The sequence below is a fragment of the Homo sapiens genome, chromosome 6, assembly GCF_000001405.40.
Source record: "Homo sapiens chromosome 6, GRCh38.p14 Primary Assembly".
In the NCBI taxonomy this organism is placed as follows: domain Eukaryota; kingdom Metazoa; phylum Chordata; class Mammalia; order Primates; family Hominidae; genus Homo; species Homo sapiens.
The window spans coordinates 97,027,646-97,049,447 of NC_000006.12; the positions used below are offsets into that span (position 1 = coordinate 97,027,646).

The following is a 21,802-nucleotide window of genomic DNA, read 5'->3' on the forward strand; positions in this document are numbered from 1 at the left end:
TTTACTCTTTCAAAGACCATGTCCTTGAATCCACTTTCTTTCTTTTGAAATACCTTTTATTTTCTGTATAGTAAACACTCCCACCCCTCCAAATCTAGGGATCAGTCCTCCCATGCTGGGATTTGGACTCAGGCCTTCTGCCCAGCCTACAAAACTTCGAGCATTGGCTTCAAGCACTAACATTTTATGACTCCGAGAATTCAGATTAGATACTATTTCCAGTAGGAGACTCTAGAGCTGTTACTGTATATATTTGAAAGGCTATTAAGCAGAAAAGAGAGTGAACTCATTGACCTTCTCCTATGACCAAGGGGAGAAAGCTATCAAGAGGGTGATTGGAAGTCAATATTTTGAAGGTTTTACTAATATTTCTCCAGCAAGGGACAGCCTGTCATGAAAAATATTAGGTGTCTCATCACTTCAAGTATTCAAGTATGCAAGGAGTGCTGCAAGGCGGGGAGGACTGACTACCCCAGCTGTGCTTCTCAAACATTTATGTGCATGTGGTTCACCTGGGGCTTTCGTTAAAACTCAGCTTTCCCATCTAGTAAGTGTCGGGTAGGAGCCGAGATTCTATATTTCTTACAAGTTCCTTGGCAATACCAATGCTGCTATTCCAGGGACCACACCTTAAGTAGGGAAGGGCCAGTGATCTCTAAAGTGTTAACATTCCAAAATTCTATTTGCAGAAGAGAGGCTAGAGTTTAGTCTTGCTTCTTACACACACCCAGCACAGCTTTGAAAACCACACAGGAGTCTCTTCTGGTCTTAGAGAATTCTCCCTGAATTCCTATCATATTTTCCTCAGTAAAGAATCCCCCTCTCTGTCTCCTCAGTTGCTTCACTTCTTTCTGCAGGCTTTCAACCTTTTCTGATATCACTGTTCTCTAAATAAATTTCCTTTTTTCATATTTTCTCTGATCCATGCAGACTCTAATCACAACTGCTCAGTCATTCCTTCGTGCAAGCCCCAAATTCTGTCTTAGGACAGCTGTCAAAATTCAGGAAATCTAGGTTATGTCTCAGTTGGGGTGTCCTTAGAAGTTTGTGAAGAGCAGGATTGTGCCATTGGCTGCCATATGCGAGAGATCAAACAGCCTCTTCAATTAATTCGATTCATTCAATAATGGTTTAGCAAATGTATTCAATAAGAAAGCGTAAAAGTGCCATCCCTAAACATCTGAAAGAGGCAAATTTGTGATAGATAAAACAATGGACTTCTTTGTATGGTGGGTAGGAATGTATTGTGATCCCACGTTCAGGGGATACAATTAGAAAGTAACAGAACTACCAGAGGAATAAGGAGAACCATAGGGATCTGAGAGGGCAACCCAAGGCTGAAGTCAAATGTGTGGATGCCACTTTCCAGAAGACAGAAAGACTGGCAAGGACAAATTTTGTGAGTTACCCAACTGCATGGTGAGCAGCAGTTTCTGGCCTTCACAATTACCATAACTTTGGCTAAGAAACAACTTGATTTGTGTCCTTTTTTTATTCCACCCTTTCCTCTCCCAGAAGACCCAGGTCGTTGAAACATGGCCACATTCAAGAGGAGGAGAATTCTAAACAGACAGGATAAACCATAATGATGCTTGTTTTGAAGAGCTCATTATCACTGTATAGTTAATTTAGGAAGCAACTGTGCCAAGAGCAAAGCTGTGAAATGCAGCTAGATCCTTTAAATAAACAAGCTACATATTTGAAGATTTTAGAAAAAAAACAATATGTAACATAATTTTTAGCATATAAGATGGATCTTTATGTGGTTAAGGTGAGGGAAAATTGGTATTTTACAGATATTAATTTGTGTTGCCTAATTATATTTACAGTAATATAATTTTACTGTTTTAGTTTGTCTTGTGATATTTTATTCTCTGACAGTATTATTATACTATGGGAGGAAAAATTAAAACAATTGTAAAGAGGAAAGAAAACCACCAACCAAACATCCTCACTCTTTCATACCATTTAGCTCTCCAGGTGGATTGGGTTATTTTTTTCATTTGCAAGATAAAGGAGGTAAATAGTCCAATTTAACTGTGATTGGGACCCTCCTCTCCCTAATGGAAGGGAATGGACTATTGCAGTTAATTGAATGGTCTCATTAACTGAGATTTACTACCCATTCTATATGTGAGGTGTAACCAAAATGTAATAAAGGCTAATAACCATTAACACTAAATTGAGCAAAATGTAATCTTTGTTGATTCAGAAGTTAGTTCAAATCTCTGTAATGCCTCATGGCCATTGTAAACATCATTAATTATGTAACAGTGGGCATATAGAAGATGTAAGATGTAATGGATCTACTGTAATCATTGCGAGTTGCTCTTTTCAATGACTTCCTTAAACATGTCTTTTTACTTTCATTTAACTCTGTTTAATGCTTATAAAATGTAAGGGTTGAATGTACCTCCAAACAATTCAGTTATTTCACCTGTAAGATTATTTGTATTCTTGATAAAATGGGAGTCGCAGTGGTTTTGCCTGTGTTCAGAGTAACTCCAAAGCTGCACATAGTTTGCCAGGTAAAAAGATCATATTTTACCAGATGCTTTAAAAAGTCTATCATCTGCCATTTTACTTATCTATGAAGATGTAGTAGAATTTTTGTCAGTTTTGTGTCGTAAGGTACCACCCTAAAATGTAGCTGTAACTAATCTTGTGTCTGCATGACAAGTAACATGACTCAAGAAAACGTCACATACTGTGATTTTAGGACTCAATTTGCATCACTTCTGTGTGAAATAAAGAGGGAATAACACACCATAAATCCACACCTCCCTCTGTGGTAGGCACTTAAAGTGGATTATATACTCACAAACTAGGTTTTCAATTAGAAAGGTTTGTTGTTGGTGGCAGCACATTATCAGCCACAAATGAGCTGTGATGACTGTAAATCTCAGCCTGGCCGAGGCTCTCCCAAAGACAAAATCTTGTGAACCAAGCATGAGTCTGTGCAATGCTTTCATATTTCTAAGCAGAACTTTATCCCATGCTTTGGCAGAATGTTGTGACTTGATAGAGAACATTGACATATGTTCTTTTTTTTCTAAATGTCTAGCTTTGAACTCACTTGTGTTTCTCAAATGTTTAGCTTACAGTAGATGCTCTTTCTCTTTAGTTACGATTTTACATTTTGGTATCTAAAACACCTTACATGCAGAACATTTCTGTTACATAGAATGAATTCTTTTTGTTTATGACACTGTAGGGTGGTAGGACATCATCTGCAGATGAGTTTTGAAGATGATATTGGTTGATTCATTCATTTTCTGTATTTATTGCATGTATGCACTCCTAGAATCTGGGAGCACCACAGTGAGAAAAGGAGATATGGCACCTGCCTTCATGGAGCCTGCACTCTACCTTTTCAAGATGTTATATGCTTAAAAATATTACTGCTGGTCTCATCACCTCTTTTGCTGCCAAGGAGACTTTGACCTTCCTCCTGGTTTCTAGCAGGTCTCTGGACATTGTTTCACTAGTTTGGATAGACTAGGCAACTGGTGTTTCACTGTACCAAATGGCCAAGTTCTTCCTTATCACCAAGTGGTATCCAATGAGGCTCTTCCTAATTGAGATATCTTTTAAATGTATTATACCCAAGACATTGACCTTGATATAATAGTTCCCCTTTTTTAATCTTTAGATTAGTTCTAGTTTTTAAAAATTATAAGCATTAAGTTTTTAACATTTTTTTTTTTTGAGATAGAGTCTCACTCTTTTGCCCAAGCTGGAGTGCAGTGGTGTGATCATGGCTCACTGCAGCCTCAAACTCATGGGGTCAAGTGATCCTCCTGCCTCACCGTCTTGAGTAGCTGGGACTGCAGGTGCAGACCACCATGCTCAGCTAATTTTTTTTTATTGTTTGTAGAGATAGGGTCTTCCTATGTTGCCCAGCCTGGTCTCAAACTCCTGGCCTCAAGTGAACTTCTAGCCTCAGCCTCCCAAAGTGGTGGGATTATAGTCATGACCCACGGTGCCTGGCAATGTTAACTTTCTAAAACAGTATGATGTGATGTCAAAGTGGAAGTTCTGTATTTATAGAAGTGGTGGTGATGATTTTTATAATGGGGTCATTCCATAAAGTAGAAGTCTAGGAGTATGTTGCAAAAGTAAAGTCCTGAAGCCAGAGATAGGGATTTAGAGTGAGACTGTCATTTGGAAACTATTTGAAATGAATGGATTTAGTCAGCAGTTGAGTGGAGGGTGCTGTTTCTCAGCTCTCGTTTCAATTGGAGTCAAAGGGAGACATGGGACAGTAAGACCATCAACCTGGATTATAGCGACAGTTTCTATATAACATTTACTATGTGCCACATATTATGCCTAACATTAAGCATAATTGTATTTAAACCTATAACAACCCTGTGAAGTTGGTATTATTCCCATTTTACAGATAAAGAGCCTGAGGCTCAGAGAAGGTAACAAATTAGCCAAAGTTTCAAGATAAATTGCCCACATGACTAGTAGTTTATAGAACCAGATGTATCTTCCTGCATAGTTCTGAACATTAAAAATAAAGTTTTTAAAAGGGAGTTGTTTGAAATACATAAGTAATACATGTTCATTGCAGTGATCCAAAAGATACTTACGTAAACAGGATAAAATTAAGTCTCTTTTTTCCCTCTACAATCGTACTCTATAATATAGCAATTATAGATGCATTTAATTGTATTGATATAAAATGATTACCAATATGGTGTTCCTTTATTGCTCATACAAACGTGCAAATATAGATATACATTATTTAAGGAATTGTGTTTTCCTCCCAACTCTACTAACTCTCTGATGAGGATCCCTATTCTATGCCAGTGTTATCCTGATTACTTTTGAAAGACCCTAGAAATGTCGATTTTTAAAACTCCTTTGGCAGCCTATTTTGTTTTTTTAACCTTTGTTCTCAGGAAGTTTTTCCATTTCATTAACCCAGATCATTCTTCTGCAGTTTAAGCTATTTTGAGTCCTGCTGTATATACGGGATTGGTGGCAAGCAGGCCGTCAGCACATCAGGGGCAATTACAACTTGGAAGATCTGAAAAAAGAACTTGGTTGGTGTGGGGAATGTTAAAAACTTAACCACTCATGTAATAAAAAGCAGACACTGAAAACAACTGAAATTTCTTTCAGGTTCTTTCAAGGAGTTCAGAAGCAAATTCAACATTTTATAAACTAAAGGTTTTTATTTAACTGTGATCTGTTTTTTAATTTTGGAATTTCGGGTAATCTTCTGCAAATGCATAAACAAAATCTACTTAACTCTAAAGGCAATTTCCTGTTAGCTTTTTTTTTTTTTTATCTATAGCCACACTTGATTTAAAAAAACAACAACAGAAACTGGTGCTTCTCCTAACATATCAATCCTTTTAGCCAGGGAATACATAAAAGAAACTTCACTACATTTTATTGTTACCACAAAATATAAATTTTACTAAGAGCTTGCCATATGTCAGGCACTGTTCACTTTGTATGTATACTTAATAGACCGCAGTATAGTGTCAACATAACTTTTATATGTACTGGGAAACCAAAACATATGTCTGACTCACTGTATTATGATATTTGCTTTATTAAGTTGGTCTGAAACTAAACCCACCATATGCCTATATAAGTGAGATCATTCAATATTTGTCTTTCTGTGTCTAGTTTATTTCACTTAGCATAATGTCGTCCAAGTTCATCCATATTGTTGCAAATGGCAGGATTTTCTTCTTTTTTAAGGCTAAATAATGTTCGTATGTGTGTGTATGTCTCACATTTTCTTTATCCATTCATCCGTTGAGGGACATTAAGATTGTTTCCGTATTGTGGCTATTGTAAATAATGCTGTAATAACCATGGGAGTGTGGCTATCACTTTAAGATACTAATTTCATTTTCTTTGCATACATACCCAGAAGTGAGATTGTTAGATCATAAGCTAGTTCTTTTTAAATTTTTTTTAGTACCCTCTCTACTGTTTCCCATAATGGCTGTACCAATTTACATTACAACCAACAATAAACAAGGATTCCCTTTTCTCTACAACCTCACCAACACTTATCTTCTGTCTTTTTGGTAATAATTATTCTAACGGGTGTGAGGAGACCCCTCATTGTGGTTTTTACTTGCTTTTCCCTGATGATTAGTGATGTTGAGCATCTTTTTATATACCTGTTGCCCATTTGTATGCCTTCTTTGGAAAAATGTCTATTCAGATCCTGTGACCATTTTAAAATTCAGTTATTTAATTATTTATTTATTTTGCTATTGAATTTTGAGTTCCTTAAATATTTTGGATATTAACCCTTTATCAGATATATGGCTTGCAAATATTTTTCCCATTCTGTGGGTTGCCATTTTAATCTGTTGAATGTTTCCTTTGGTATGCATAAGGTTTTAGTTTGATGCAAGCCCACTTATTTTTGCTTTTGTTGCCAGTAGTTTGGTGTCTTATCCAAAAAATTATTGCTTAGACCAATGTCAAGGAGCTTTTCCCCTACATTTTCTTCTGTATTGTTTCAAGTCTTACATTTAAGTCATTAATACATTTAAGTTAATTTTTGCATATGATGTGAGATAAGGGTTCAATTCTATTCTTTGGCATGCGGATGTCAAGTTTTTCCTGCACCGTATATTGAAAAGCCTGTCCTTTCCCTATTGTGTGTTCTTGGCACCCTGTCAAAGATCAGTTTACCATAGATGCATGGATTTATTTCTGGGATATTCTGTTTGTTGGTCTATATATCTGTTTTTATGACAGTACTATACTGTTTTGATTACTGTAGCTTTGTAATATATTTTGAAATCAGGAAGTGTGATGCCTCCAGCATGTTCTTTTTGTTTAAGATTTCTTTGGCTATTCAGGGTCTTTTGTGGTTTCATTTGATTTTAGCATTTTTTTTTCTATTTCTATAAAGAATGCCACTTGAATTTTGATAGGGGTTGTGTTGAATGTATAGATCATTTTGGGTAGTATGAACATTTTAACACATTTTTTTCAATCCATGGACATGGATGTCTTTCCATTTTATCTGTGTCTTTGATTTCCTTCACCAATGTTTTATAATTTTCAGTTAACAAGTCTGTTACTTCTTTGATTACATGTATGCCTAAGTATTTTCTTTGTTATTGTAAATGGGATGGTTTTCTTAAATTTCTTTTTGATGACTTTCCTGTTTGTGTACACAAATACCACAGATTTTTGTATGTTAATTTTGCACCAAAAAACTTTGTTAAACTCATTTATTAGTTCTAACATTGTTTTTTGGTTGAATCTTCAGGGTTTCCTACGTATATAATCATGTTATCTGTGGAGGTAATTTCACTTTTTCCTCTCCCATTTGGATGCTTTTTATTTCTTTTTCTTGTTTAATTGCTCTGGGTAGGACTTCCAGTACTAAGTTGAATAAAAGCGGTCTCTCGTCTTCTCTTGCCATCTTCCTTTGTTATCTGATTATTTTTGTAGTATTTGCCTTGATTCTTCTCTATTTATCTTTTGTATATCTATTATAAGTTTTTTTCTGTGTGGTTACCTCAAGGCTGGCATAAAATGTCTTGTAGTTACAATGGTCTATTTTAAGTTCATAACAACTTAACTGCACACAGAAATTCCACACTTTTACCACCTCCCCCAAACTTTGTGTTTTTGTAGTCAGAGTTTAATTCTTTTTATATTGTGTATCCATCAACAAATTTTGGTCTTTTATCTTTTAAATGTTGGGGTAAAAGTAACTTACACACCACCATTACAGTGTTACATTATTATATATTTGTCTGTATATTTAATTTTGCCAGTGAGATTTATGTTTTCTTATGCTTTCACGTTACTGTTTAGCATGTTTTTGTTTTCAATTTGAAGAACCCCCTTAGCCATTTTGTGTAAAATAGGTCTAGGAGTGACAAACTCTCTCAGTTTTTGTTTCCCTGGGAAAGACTTTCTCTTTCATTTATTTTTAAAGGATAGTTTTGCCAGATATTGTATACTTGGCAGTTTTTTTCTTTCAGTATTTTGAATGTGTCGTCCCACTCTCTTCTGGCCTGCAACATTTCTACTAAAAAAAAATCCACTGATGTCTTATGGAGGTGGTTCCCTTATACATGACAAGTCACTTTTCTTTTGCTTCTTTCAAAATTCTCTGTCTTTAACTTTTGAAATTTAATTATAATGTATCCTGGTGCAGATCTCTTTGTATTCAACTTATTTAGGATTCTTTGGGGTTAATCAATCTGGATGTCCACTTCCTTCCCTGATTTAGAATGTTTTTGGTAATTATTCCTTTTCAATAATCTTTCTTCTCCTTTCTATTTCTCTTCTCTTTATTAAGCTTTCATAATCTATATCGGTTTACTTGATATTGTTCCATAAAATCCATAGGCTTTCTTTACTCCTTTTTATTCTTTTTTCTTTTTTGTCCTCTGACTGGATAATTTTAAACGACCAGTATTCAAGTTTACTAATTCTTTCCTCTGCTTGATCGAGTCTGGTATTGAAGTTCTCTGTCGCATTTTTTTATTTCATTTATTGTGTTCTTCAGCTTCAGAATTTGTTTGCTTCATTTTTGTGGTTTACATTTCTCTAACTTTCCCTTTCATTTATGTATTACATAAAATTTACATTTCTCTAACTTTCCCTTTTGTTTATGTATTACTTTCCTGATATTATTGAGTTGTCTATATGTGTTCAATGATAATTTCTTAAAACAATAATTTTGTCAGGCAATTCATAGGTCCCCATTTCTTTGGGATCATTACTGGAAATTATCATATTCCTTTAGTGGTGTTATGTTTCCCTGACATTTCATGTTCCTTGTAGCCTTGCATTGGTGTCTGAGCATTTGAAGGAGCAGTTACATCTTTCAGATATTACAGACTGGCTTTGGTGGGGAAGACTTTCACCTGAGATGTGATGATACCTGAGGTGTGATGATGGGTGGGGTGTGTGGTGGTTCTTAAATAATCACCTGAGGTGTGATGATGGGTGGGCTGTGTGGTAGTTCTGGGTCCAGTGCAAGTTGTGAGGAATGTGCAGGGGCACTGGTTTTGGGGATTGTGTGACACTGTCATGGTGCATGGGGGTGCCAGGTCCTGGTGCAGGTGTAAGACAAGTGACATCACACCCAGGTGTGGGCTCATGTGAAGCCGTACCGGGTGCAGGGTGCCAGAGTGGCCCCCTCCAGCTCCAGGGGATGCAAGGCATGGGCTCCAGGCATCTCTGTCAGCTGGGATTTGTGTTGGTAAAGACTGGGGATCTTTAGCAGCAAAGACTGTAGGAATCCTCCTGCTCTTTTCCCCTATGGGGGGATATAGTGGTCAAGGCAATTTCTGTTGGCACTAAGCTGTACTATGTGGAACATCCTCAGTTCTAAAAAATGTTCAATTTTTAAAATTTATGATAAAGTAAATTTCTGAAAGTTAAGTACATTATGAATGTTAGCTTTTTAATATATCAAATATAATTGAATATATTATATGTTAAATACTCCCAATAGCTTTAAGATATTTTGAATATTATTTTATTTTTTCAAATTGTATTTAAAATATATTTTAGAAAATTTCTTAAATGGCAAGAGAGCAATAATTTAGTGTTTCTAACAGTGAAAGGTTTAACTATAAATTAAGCTCTCAAAAATAATCCTTTTCATTATGAAAACATAAAACTCTCTAATGCAGTGAGATGGAAATGAAGATCTCTACAAGGAATAATGGGTCATCAGTTTATATTGTCCATCTTATACATATTAATTTAAAATGTATAGACTTGTGAGGATAAAAAAATAACATTTGTTAAAATAAAATCCTATTAGTTCAATAGTACAAAGAATATAAAATACCTAGGAATCAATTTAACCAAAGAAGTAAAATATCTATACAAGGAAAACTATAAAACACTGATGAAAGAAGATGATGCCAAAAAAAGGGAAAGATACTCCGTATTCATGGATAGGAATAATTAATGCTGCTAAAATAACAATACTATCCAAAGTAGTTTACAGATTCAATGCAATCCATATCAAATTTTCAATGACATTCTTCACAGAAATAGAAAAAAATCTTAAATATAAATGGAACCACAAAAACCCCAAATAACCAAAGCCACCCTGAGCAAAAAGAACAAAGACATTACACTATCAGATATCACAATGTACTACAAAGCTATAGTAACTAAATTAGCCTGGTACTGGCATAAAAACAGACACATAGATCAATGGAATAGAATAGGGAACCCAAATATAAGTCCACACATTTACAGACAACTCATCTTTGCAAAGGTGCCAAGAACATACAATGGGGAAAGGCCAGTCTTTTTAATACATGGTGTTGGGAAAATTGCATAACTATATGCAGAAGAATGAAACTACACCCTTATCTCTCACCATACACAAAAATCAGATCCAAATGTATTAAAGACTTAAATCTAAGGCCCCAACTATGAAATAACTAGAAGACAATATTGGGGAAATGCTCCAGGACATTGGACTGGGCAAAGGCTTTTTGGGATTAAGACCCCAAAAACACAGGCAACTAAAGCAAAAATAGACAAATGGAATTTCATCAAGCTAAAAAGCTTCTACACAGCAAAGGAAACAATCAACAAAGTGTAGAGCAAACCCACAGAATGGGGACAAATATTTGTAAACTACCATCTGACAAGGGATTGATAACCAGAATATATAAGAAACTCAAACAGTTCACTAGCAAAAAAAAAAAATCCAATTTAAAAATGGGCAAAAATAGATATTTCTTAAAAGAAGATATACAGATGTCCAATAGATATATTTAAAAAAATGCTGAAGGTCACTGAGCATCAGAAGATGCAAATCAAAACTACACTGAAATACCTCACCCCAGTTAAAATGGCTTTTATCAAAAAGAGAGGCAATAACAGATTCTGGCAATGATATGGAGAAAGGGGAACCCTAGTACACTGTTGACGGGAATAAATTAGTACAGCCACTATGGAGAATGGTATGGAGGTTCCTCAAGAAACTAAAAATGTAGCTAGCATATGACTCAGCAATTTTACTACTGAGTATATATTCAAAAGAAGGGAAATCAGTATATATATAAATATATCTATATATCTATATATATCTCCAAAGGAAAGGAAATCAGTATATCTGCACTCCCATGTTTATTGTAGCACTGTTCACAATAGTCAAAATTTAGAATTGGGCTGGGTGCAGTAGCTCACACCTGTAATCCCAGCACTCCAGCACTTTGGGAGGCTGAGGCAGGTGGATCACTTGAGGTCAGGAGTTCGAGACCAGCATGGCCAACATGGTGAAACCCCGCTCTACTAAAAATACAAAAATTAGCTGGGTATGGTGGCACGTGCCTGTAGCCCCAGCTACTCAGGAGGCTGAGGAAGGAGAATTGCTTGGACCCAGGAGGCGGAGGTTGCAGTGAGCTGAGATCATGCCACTGCACTCCAGCCTGGGTGGCAGAGCAAGACTCTGTCTCAAAAAAAAAAAAAAAAGAAAAAAAGAAAAAGAAAATGGAATTAACTAAGTGCTCATCAGTGAATGAATGGACAAAGAAAATGTGGTATATATACCCAAAGAAATATTATTTAGCCATAAAAAAATGAAATCCTGTCATTTGCAGCAATGTGGATGGAATTAGAGGTCATTATGTTAAGTGAACTAAGCCTAGCACAAAAAGACAAATATTGTTAAGTTGTCACTCATATGTGAGAGCTAAAAAAAGTGAATCTCATGAAGACATAGAGTAGATTGGTGGTTACCCTACCCAGTAGGCTGGGAAGGGTCGTAGGGAGGGGGAGGATGATGGGGATATTGAATAATGAGTGCAAATATACAGTTTAATAGAAGAAATAAGAGCTAGTGTTAGATCAGTAGAGTGACTATAGTTTACAGTAATCTATTGTACACTTGAAAATAGCTAGAAGACAGCCGGGCGCAGTGGTTCACGCCTGTAATCCCAGCACTTTGGGAGGCTGAGGCAGGCGGATCACAAGGTCAGGAGTTCAAGACCAGCCTGGCCAATATGGTGAAACCCCATCTCTACTAAAAATACAAAAATTAGCCAGGAGTGGTGGCGGGCACCTATAGTCCCAGCTACTCGGGAAGCTGAGGTAGGAGAATCACTTGAACCTGGGAGGCAAAGGTTGCAGTGAGCTGAGATTGTGCCACTGCACTCCAGCCTGGGTGACAGAGTAAGACTCCATCTCAAAAAACAAACAAACAAACAAACAAAAAACAAAGAAAGAAAAGAAAATCGCTCGAAGAGAATAATTTGAATGTTTTAAGCATAAAGAAAAGATATTTTAAGGTGATAGATATCTCAAATACACTGATTTGGCAATTAAAAATTAAGACTATATTAAATTATCATATGTACCCCTGAAATATGTACATTCCTTAGGCATTGATAAAATTTAAATAAATAAATAAAATTGCTAAAAGATGAATATTGATACATTGGCAAAAGTAAAAAAAAAATCACATTTTTCAAATTAAAAAAATTCAGCATGAACTAAATACCACATAGCATAGTGAGGTTTTTTTGGTTTTGTTTTTTATGACTATAAAGTTAGCTAAACTGCAGAATCTCAGGGAACAGTTCCCACAAAACTTCTCTCATTATCAGTAAACAAAATTGAATTCTCTTTATATTTCTTAAGTCAAAGATTAAAGGTGCACAAATTAGCATGGGGTTGTATTTTTTTTTTCCTTTTAAAATGCATTTGTTTTAATTTGTCAAGTTTTTGTCTTTTTAATTTCAAATTTTCATTTGACATACTGATTTGCAGTAAATTGGCCATTTGGAGAATTGGTTGGGGGCAAATTCACTTGCACTGAATAGCTGAGTGGTTCTCAAATTCAAGTGGGCATGAGAGTCACCTGGAGGGCCTATTACAGCACAGATTGCTGGGCCCTGCTTGGAGTATCAGTTTCAGTAAATCTGCATTGGGGCCCTGAGAGTCTGTACTCAGACACGTTCCCAGGTGATCCTGATGTCGCTGGTCCAAGGGCTACACTTTGAGAACAACTGAAACGGAGTGTGTGATACATGGCTTTGTATCCCCACCCGAATCTCATCTTAAATTGTAATCCCCATAGTCCCTATAATCCCCACATGTCAAGGGAGAGACCAGATGGAGGGTAATTGGATCATGGGGGCGATTTCCCCCATGCTGTTCTCATGATAGTGAGTGAGTTCTCACAAGATCTGATGGTTTTATAAAGGGCTCTTCCCCTTCCCTCGGCACTTCTCCTTTCTGCTGCCTTGTGAAAAAGGTGCCTTGCTTCGCCTTCACCTTCGCCTTCGCCTTCCACCATTATTGTAAGTTTCCTGAGGCCTCCCCAGTCATTCTGAACTGTGAGTCAATTAAACCTCTTTCCTTTATAAGTCACCTAGTCTCAGGCAGTTCTTTATAGCATATGAAAATGAACTAATACAATGGCAGATGAGAGGAACTAGCTGTTTCATTGGACTGAGGCAGAAAAAAGCAGAGAAGTCAGAAGATGAAGGCTTTTCATGTCCTATTGGGCAGGATGTTTGGCATTGCTGCATATAACTTGGTAGCAATGAGAATCCAGGACCAAGAGAAAGCGTTCGGTGGGCCTAAATACTATCACCTCAAAATGAGACTGTGTATTACATATAGAAGTACTGTATATGGTGAGGAATGCCATCCTGTGTGTGTTGTTATTGCAACTGTTCAGACATCAAAATGATTTGCAGTGGTTTGTGTGAATGACACTTTCTAGAAGCATTTCAAAAATCAAAATCAATTATTAATTTGTAAAACTTTTTTTTCCCCTAGTCTCTCTAGAATTTTGTCTTGCTCCCTTGCTGTCAAAGTCTCATAACTGTCTTTCTCCCTTTCCTCACCTCAGGCAATGTTCAGTCTTTGTATGGTGGAAAGTGGAGCTGATGAGGTTAATTTGCACGGTGTGACCAGCCTTGGCTTAAAGCAGGCTCTGGAGTTTGCATACACAGGACAGGTATGGTATTAAATGTGATCTGTAAAGTTTAACATTTCAACTACATCTAACCAAAGGAGATTATCCTTGAGGTATGAGATTTAGTTATTGTTCTTGTTACTCATTTTGATGTTAAAAATAAGATTCACATCCTCTTAATTTTATGACTAAAGTTATGGAAAGGTAAGTAAAGCAATTTGATTTTTTAATATGATCCAGTGAACATAGTATTTTAAATTTAACTCAGTGCTTGCTGGTGTAATTTTTTGAATATCTTAAAGAACTATCGTAAGGGAAAGAGTTTGCAAGATAATGGATTCTCATTGTTATCACTGAAGCTCGGTGACTCAATCATGGCTTTATTGCCTTAAAAACAAGACAAAAAATTTAGATCCCCAAAAATTTATGTCCAACGTCTTGGTACCATGTCCTCCACATATCTCAGAGTCAGAATTGAAGGCATTTAGATTAGTAGATTGTGATGGTTTGAAATCCTAATACATTAATGACCAAAGTTGTTATAGGATTTATAGGACATCAGAGGATATCCATTTACATTTGAGAACTACTCAAATAAATCAATTCAAATACAGACTGGATGTTTAGCTCCCCTTTTATAAATTGTTGTTCTTTAACAACATTTCATCCAACGTGGATTTAGTATCTTCTATGCTAAAATGAAAGTGTCTTCTCTTGAGATGCTCACATCCTAGTAAGAGAAAGACAGGCAAATACATGATTAAAATCCTCACTGGTATTGGAGTTATAACAGAAGCAGAATACAAAACAGAGTGGGAGAAGGATGCATGTGGTCAGGTGTGGCTATCAGTACACAATTTTACAGATAGGGTGGTATTTGTGTCTTGAAGAATGTGTGGGAGCTCATTTTTCTACTGAATTTTATTTTTGTTTAATTTTATTCTTAATTAGCAAATAATAATTGTATATACTTATGTGATGTAAATGTGATGTTCTGATATATGTTTACAATGTGGAATGATTAAATCAGGCTAATTAACAAATTTATCACCTCACCTACCTACCTATTTTTTTTGTGGTGAAAACATTTAAAATGCACTCTTCTAGCAATGTTGAACTATACAATGCATTATTATTTATTATAGTTACCATTCTGTGAAGTAGATCACTACAGCTTATTCCTGCTGTCTAACTGAAACTATATACCCTTTGATCAACATCTCCCATTAGTCCATCCACCCCTGCTACAGTTTGGATGTTTGTCCTCTCCAAATCTCATGTTGAAATTTGATCCCCAGTGTTGGAGGTCGGGTCTGTAGGTGGATGTTGGGGTCATGTTGATTGATTCTTCGTGAAAAGGCTGATGCTCTCCCTCAGGGTGTGAGTGAGTTCTCACTGTTAATTCCTGAAAAAGCTATTTATTAAAAAGAGGCTGGCACCTCCTTCCCACTCTCGTGCTTCCTCTCTTACTATGTGATCTTGGCACATGCCAGCTCCGCTTCTCCTCTGCCATGAGTGGAAACAGCCTGAAACCCTCACCAGAAGCAGATGCTGGAGCTATGTTTCTTGTTTAGCCTGCAGAACCATAAGCCAAATAAACCTCTTTCTTATATAAGTTACCCAATGTCAGGTATTCCTTTATAACAACTCCAAATGGACTAAGAAAACACCCTCCCCTAGCCTTTGGTAACCATCATTCTACTTGCTACTTCTATGAGTTCAACTTTTTTAGATTCAGCATATAAGTGAGATCATGAAGTATTTGTCTTTCTGTGCCTTGCTTATTTCACTTAACATAATGTCCTCAAAGTTCATCCATGTCATTGCAAATGACAGGATTTATCTGCTTCTTAAAGCTAAATAGCAGTATGTTGTGTATACATACCATCTTTTCTTTATTCATCTGATGATGGACAACTAGGTTGCATTCATATCTTAGTTACTGCGAATAATGCTGCAGTGAACATGGGTAGGCAGATGTCTCTATAGCATACTAATTTCAGTTCCTTTGGCTATTACCCAGAAGTGGAATTGCTGGTTCATATGGTAATTTTATTTTTACTTTTTTGAAGAACCTCCATACTGTTTAACATAATGGGTGTATTAATTTATATTCCCACTAACAGTGCACAAAGGTTTTTCTCCACACCCTCATCAATACTTGTTATCGATTGTCTTTTTTTTATAGTAGGGGTGAGGCGATATCTCACCATAGTTTTAATTTGCATTTCCCTGATGACTAATGATGATGAATTTTTTTTCATATATCTGTTGGCCATCTGTATGTCTTCTTTTGAGAAGTGTCTATTAGGTCCTTTGCCAGCTTTTTGATTGGGTTATTTATTTTCTCATCTTCTTGTGATGGCTCTAGCTTTGTTCTTTTTGCACAAGATTGCTTTAACTATTCGAGTTCTCAGTTGTATTTTTTTTTTCTTGTCTAATTTCTCTGGCTAGAACTTCCAGTACTATGTTGAATAGAAGTGGTCAAAATGGGCATACTTGTCTTGTTTCTGATCTTAAAGGAGGAGCTTTCAACTTTTCACCACTAAGTATAATGTTAACTCTGGGCTTTTCAGATATGGCCTTTATTGTATTGATATACATTCTTTCTATGCCTAACTTGTTGAGAGTTTTTATCATGATAGGATGCTGAATTTTGTCAAATGCTTTTTCTGAATCTATTCAGATGATCGTATGGTTGTTATCTGTCATTCTGTTAATATGGTATATTGCATTTATTTATTAATATTTGCATATGTTGAATCATCATTGCATCCCAGGGATAAATCTCCCTTGATCATAGTGAATGATTCTTTTAATCATTCACTGTGCTGTTGAATGTAGTTTGCTAGTATTTTCTTGAGGAGTTTTGCAGCCATGTTCATCATGGATATTGGCCTGGAATTTTCTTTTCTTGTAGTGTCTTTGTCTGGCTTTGGTATCAGAATAATGCTAGTCTCATAAAATGAATTTGAAAGTATTCCTTCTTTAATTTTCTGAAAGAGTTTTAAGAGAGATTGATATTCTTTCTTCTTTAAATGTTTGGTAGAATTCTGCTGTGATGCTATAAGGTCCTAGATTTTTCTTTAATGGGAGATATTTTTTATTAATAGTATTGATATAATCTCCTTACTTGCTATTGGTCTGTTCAGATTTTTTATTACTTTTTTATTCAGTCTTGCTAGGTTGTATGTTTCTAGGACTTCATCCATTTCTTCTAGATTATCCAATTTTTTGGTGTATAATTATTCATAGTAGTCTCTTATGGTCCTTTGTATGTCTATGATATCTGTTGTAATATCTTCTCTTTCATTTCTGATTTTATTTATTTGAATCTTCTCGTTTTTTTTCTTAGTCTGGCTAAAGTTTTGTTGATTTTATCTTTTCAAATAATGAAGTTTCACTTTCATTAATCTTTTCTATTGTCTTTGTAGTCTCTATTTTTCACTAAGTTTTCTTTAGAGGCTTATTAAAACGTATGATATCATTTATTCTCTTTTCTGGAGTTAGTAGAATTTAAGATATGTGTCTTAGAATAATTGAGGCAACTCTGGCAGCTAGAAGAAAATAGTAAGTATAAAGGAAATAAGCCATTAATCAAGTAGAAAGTATAACAGGAGAAAGAAAGGTGATGGATCACAAATTCAAGATTAGCCCAGCCAAATTTCAAGACTTAGGAAATTAAGGCAGGCCATTATCATTCACAGAGTTGCCAAAATATATTCCTAGTGAAGTGAGTAAATCATGTATTTTGTGTTTTTTGGTTTACAGATGTGAAGAAAGATACCATCTCTAAATTCTGTCTTATTATTTCTCTTTTTATACTTGAATTACATGCAGTCACATCTGTATTTGCCCATCTCTAGAGTAAGATTGAAAACCCATAGCTCTTACTTCACAGGTGTGCCATGGGATGAAATAGTAATTTTTTTTTTGTAAAACTACCCAAGTAAATAATATCTGCACTCAGCTGCATTAGCAACTAAATGGTTTAAGCTTAGAGGCAATGGTCTGTAAAGCATGTTTGAAGTATTAGGAAACTCAAGAGCACAAATTCCTGGGAAGGCTGAGTTAAAATACACATGCAAATATATGTGGCTGCCTTATTGCTTGCTTGATTGCTTTGTGATTTCCTTCAGAATGGCTAAGTTGATGTGTATGTGCGTGTGTGTGTGCACGCATGTGTGCGTGTAATTCCTGTCACACAAAGGATCTATGAAATGTGAACTGAAGTGAAGATAGCAGAAAGGGAGCTGACTTTTTGAAGGTGAAGAAACCTACTTGGAAAGCAGGAAGATATTTGCAGAAGGGCAGCCATATCCCATTGCCCAGGAGTCATATGCCTTAGGTGCTTAAATTCTACTTTTATGAGAAAAAGAAAGCCAAATGAGATGAAAATATATCTGGTGTAAGTGCCTTTAAAAAGAAAGAAAGAAAAGCAAGTCCTAGGGCCAGATCTGGGGTTGCAATTATTCTGTCCAAACACCAGAGACTTATTCTGACTGTGCATCCACAGAGGCATATGACAGTCTGTGGCATACAGCAGTAATTCATCTGTTCAAATTGTGTGCTGAGAGGACAGGAAGGGGGCTGACATTTCCTGGAGCACCTTCTGAAAAAGCCAGGGGACAGCACTAGGCACTTTATGCGTGCTGTTTAAACTAATCTTTAAAACAGCTCTAAGGAATGCTGTGACCCCACTTGAAAGATGACAGGCCCAGGGAAATGCAGTGAATTGACTAAGATCATTCTCTCATATATTTTGGCCCAATTAGTCAAACCGAGTCCTACTAATTTCAAGTCTGTTGTTCGTTTTTTATTATAATCTGTCATTAAGAAAAGATTAAGTTATACTTTGTTATACTTTGTTGAAGGAGGCAGAAAAGTGTTTGGGCATTTACAGAGTCCACTATCTTGGTGGTTTTCTAAACTTGGAAACTGTGCCTTTTCAAGTCAGTCCATGAGGGCTTAGACTTGTTCTCCCTATGTGATCACTCTTTGCCACAGAGTAGAAGTTGATACCTCTACAGCCTTTCTTGAACAACATCCAAGAAAGTTTGGTTCTGAAACATCTTTAATTTGTAATAAATCTATTTTCCCTTTGAGACATGGACACAGCTGATGGCAAAAAGAATGAAGTTGCAGTTTACTTGAGATTGTTGAACAGCTGCTTTCTCTTACTATGGAGTCGACATTAACATTAAGCAAAAAGGTTGGAGCATAGGAATGTGAGTGAAAGCATAATTCTTCAGTTTCTTAACTGTTATTTAGTATTAGGGACATTCACTGACATGTAGTCTTTATCCGTGATATGTATATAGATTTGTAAAAATTCAGGGTTAACATCGAGTGTATCTGCCTATAGCTATTTCTAACAGTTGATTATATGTTTAGTCAGTTGTAATATGCATAGTATGAAATGTACGTATTTTAAGTGTCTGAAAATTGTTGCTGTCTTGGAGAGAAATTGGAAGTATAGAGTGGGAGTGATGAATGAATGCCTCTAAGTGTAACAAGATGTGTGCGTGTTCCTCCTACACATTGCTCTAAAGTGTAGCCTTCTTAAAATTGGCCTACAGATTTCATCCAGGAAATTTTAAAGAAAAAGCAAATTTTCCTCTTAATATTAATACATATTCTGAAAATGCATGCATTTCCTATCAAGTAGCAAACAGGGCTGCATAAGCATTCACTCTGCCTTTGCACTAATGAGAAATATGCCCTTCTTCTGGGCACACTGTGTTTGGGACACTGCTTGAATAGACCTTGGGATGCAGTGCAGTCTTCATGGGTGTCCTTGCACAGCCATGCATGGAGGCCATTATTACAGCAGAACCAATGGTGGAGGGCATAGAGGCCAGGCTGCTCTTGCTCTGCAGGGCTTGTTTTGGGAGCAAGGTTGGAAGCAAATGGTGACATAAACTGACTCTGGGCAGATCTGCCTTAGAGAGAAAAGGACAAAGTGAATCTAAGAAAATACAAACTCCAGTTACACTGGTGGGCAAGAGGGCCCATCCTGTTACTCTGGCCTCCCTTACTCTCCTCACTTTGAAACTGTGGCCAAGTTTTTTCATGTTTCAGACCAGTCCTGAGTAGAAGAGGTATGAGGAAGAAGGAAGAGAAATACTCTGATGGAAATGTTGCCTGGGAGATGGATCCCAGTCCAAACTAGACAAGAGGTCAGCCACCCAGGAGCAGGCAGGTGTTTTTAGAAAATCAAAAAGCAAAAACCAAAAAACCCAGCCTGACAGTGAAGAGCAGAAAACATCAAGACCCTTTTATAAAAAGAAGAGCCCTGCTTGGAAAGTAGAACTTCCAGCACCAAAGGCCTTGGGATAAGCCTTTAGAAATTTGAGTACCTTAGGACCGAAATGGAAGCAAATAGGACTGCGAACCACAATAAAGTTTATTGTTTAACACTCTGGCTATGATGATGTCAAGGAATATACACTATATGCCAAGCACTGTGATAAATACCTTACATGTAGTGGAGGAAGGGTTGAAACCTAGTTAGCTTCCTCTTAATTTCCGGAGAGCTCTCCTCCTTTTCTGTCCCTTGGAGACTGATGAAGAGGTTCCAGAAACCCAGTGGAGAGATAAACTCTGCACCAAATGATAGTGACGTTTATAGTCCCCTTTACAATTCTCCACTTCCAGGCACTGCTAACTCTGTCAGCTGTGAACCAATTATGTCATATCCGGGCTTCTGAAGAAGGATGCCTTGGGATCTGTGTTCCCTTGCATTTCTCTTTATTATTCAGTAACTCCAGCCCTTGGCTTCTGAAAATCATAGAAGAACCCATCTCTTGGGGGATAGTCACCCTAAATACATTTCTCTGACCCAGAGAATGCTTCAATACGATCTTTACAAGGAAATATTGTATCACCATTACTGTTCTTATTTTGAAGCCTTTTGGCAATCAAGAAAACTATCATACTCTGTTAAGGGAAAAATTACTTTAAAAATATTCATTCAGTCAGAGGTCTCACCATAGTAACTTTGTTTTTTTGATTGTCATTTGGTTCCCTAATAAGTTCACATGACTTTTTTTATATAGCCCTGATAATGCAAACACTGTGCATTACATTTTGATGATCATTGAAACTGTATTCCCCACAGCAGAATACTTTTCTCGGGAGACCTGAGCATCAGGCCAGGCAGCAGAGTGACAGGAATCTTAATTGGATCTGCTTTCTCATGGACCATCCCTTCAGGGGTAGAAGTATCCATTTATATGGAGAAAGTCTCTGTCGGATTTACTTATAAATATAACCCAATTGAGCTAAATAGTAGCACATGGAGCAAACATGGGAGAAAATTTTTAAAATGTTTCTCTCAGGAGTAGTGTTAAGACTATTCAGTGGTTTAAATATTTTAGCTTCCCAATCCTTTCTTTAGCTGGCAGTACCTACCTGGCAAGTAAAAGGCCCTGAGGCACCTCCACTGTGCCTTGCACTCTGGAGGGTACACAGTGAAATCCACATTTTAAGGAAGAATATAGCATCCCTTCCTTACCTGCTGGGGCTATATTCCAAGACCCCAGTGGATGCCTGAAACCTCAGATAAGTACCAAACCCTATATATACTATGTTTTTTTCCTATCCATACACACCTGTCATAAAATTTAGTTTATAAATTAGGCACAATAAGATTAACAACAATTACTAACAATAAAGTAGAACAATTATAACAATACACCAGCATCACTTCTCTTGTACCTTGGGGCCATTATTAAGTAAAATAAACACAAGCACTGAGATACTGCCACAGTGGTCTGATAACCCAGAGGGCTACTAGGTTACTAACAGGCAGAGAGCATCTACAATGAGGATATGCTGAACAAAGGAATGATTCATGTCTTGGTAGGACAGAGTGGGATGGTGGGAGAT

At 36.5% G+C, this 21,802-nt stretch overlaps 1 protein-coding gene across 25 annotated transcripts in view; it reads left to right on the top strand.

The window, feature by feature from the left end:
* The window catches only part of KLHL32 (kelch like family member 32), a 242,671-nt gene that overhangs the window by 129,563 nt on the left and 91,306 nt on the right, over nt 1–21,802 (top strand). For 23 of the 25 annotated variants that reach the window (NR_136580.2, NR_104421.2, NR_136579.2 and 20 more), the window contains one exon: nt 13,847–13,954. The exons of the other annotated variants lie outside the window; for them this stretch is intronic. Coding sequence is in view for 16 of the 23 variants with exons in the window: in NM_001323258.2 (NP_001310187.1) it covers nt 13,847–13,954 (108 nt within the window). In the remaining 7 variants the exon portion in view is untranslated. The remainder of the gene's footprint in view (nt 1–13,846; nt 13,955–21,802) is intronic. 25 annotated transcript variants of the gene reach the window in all.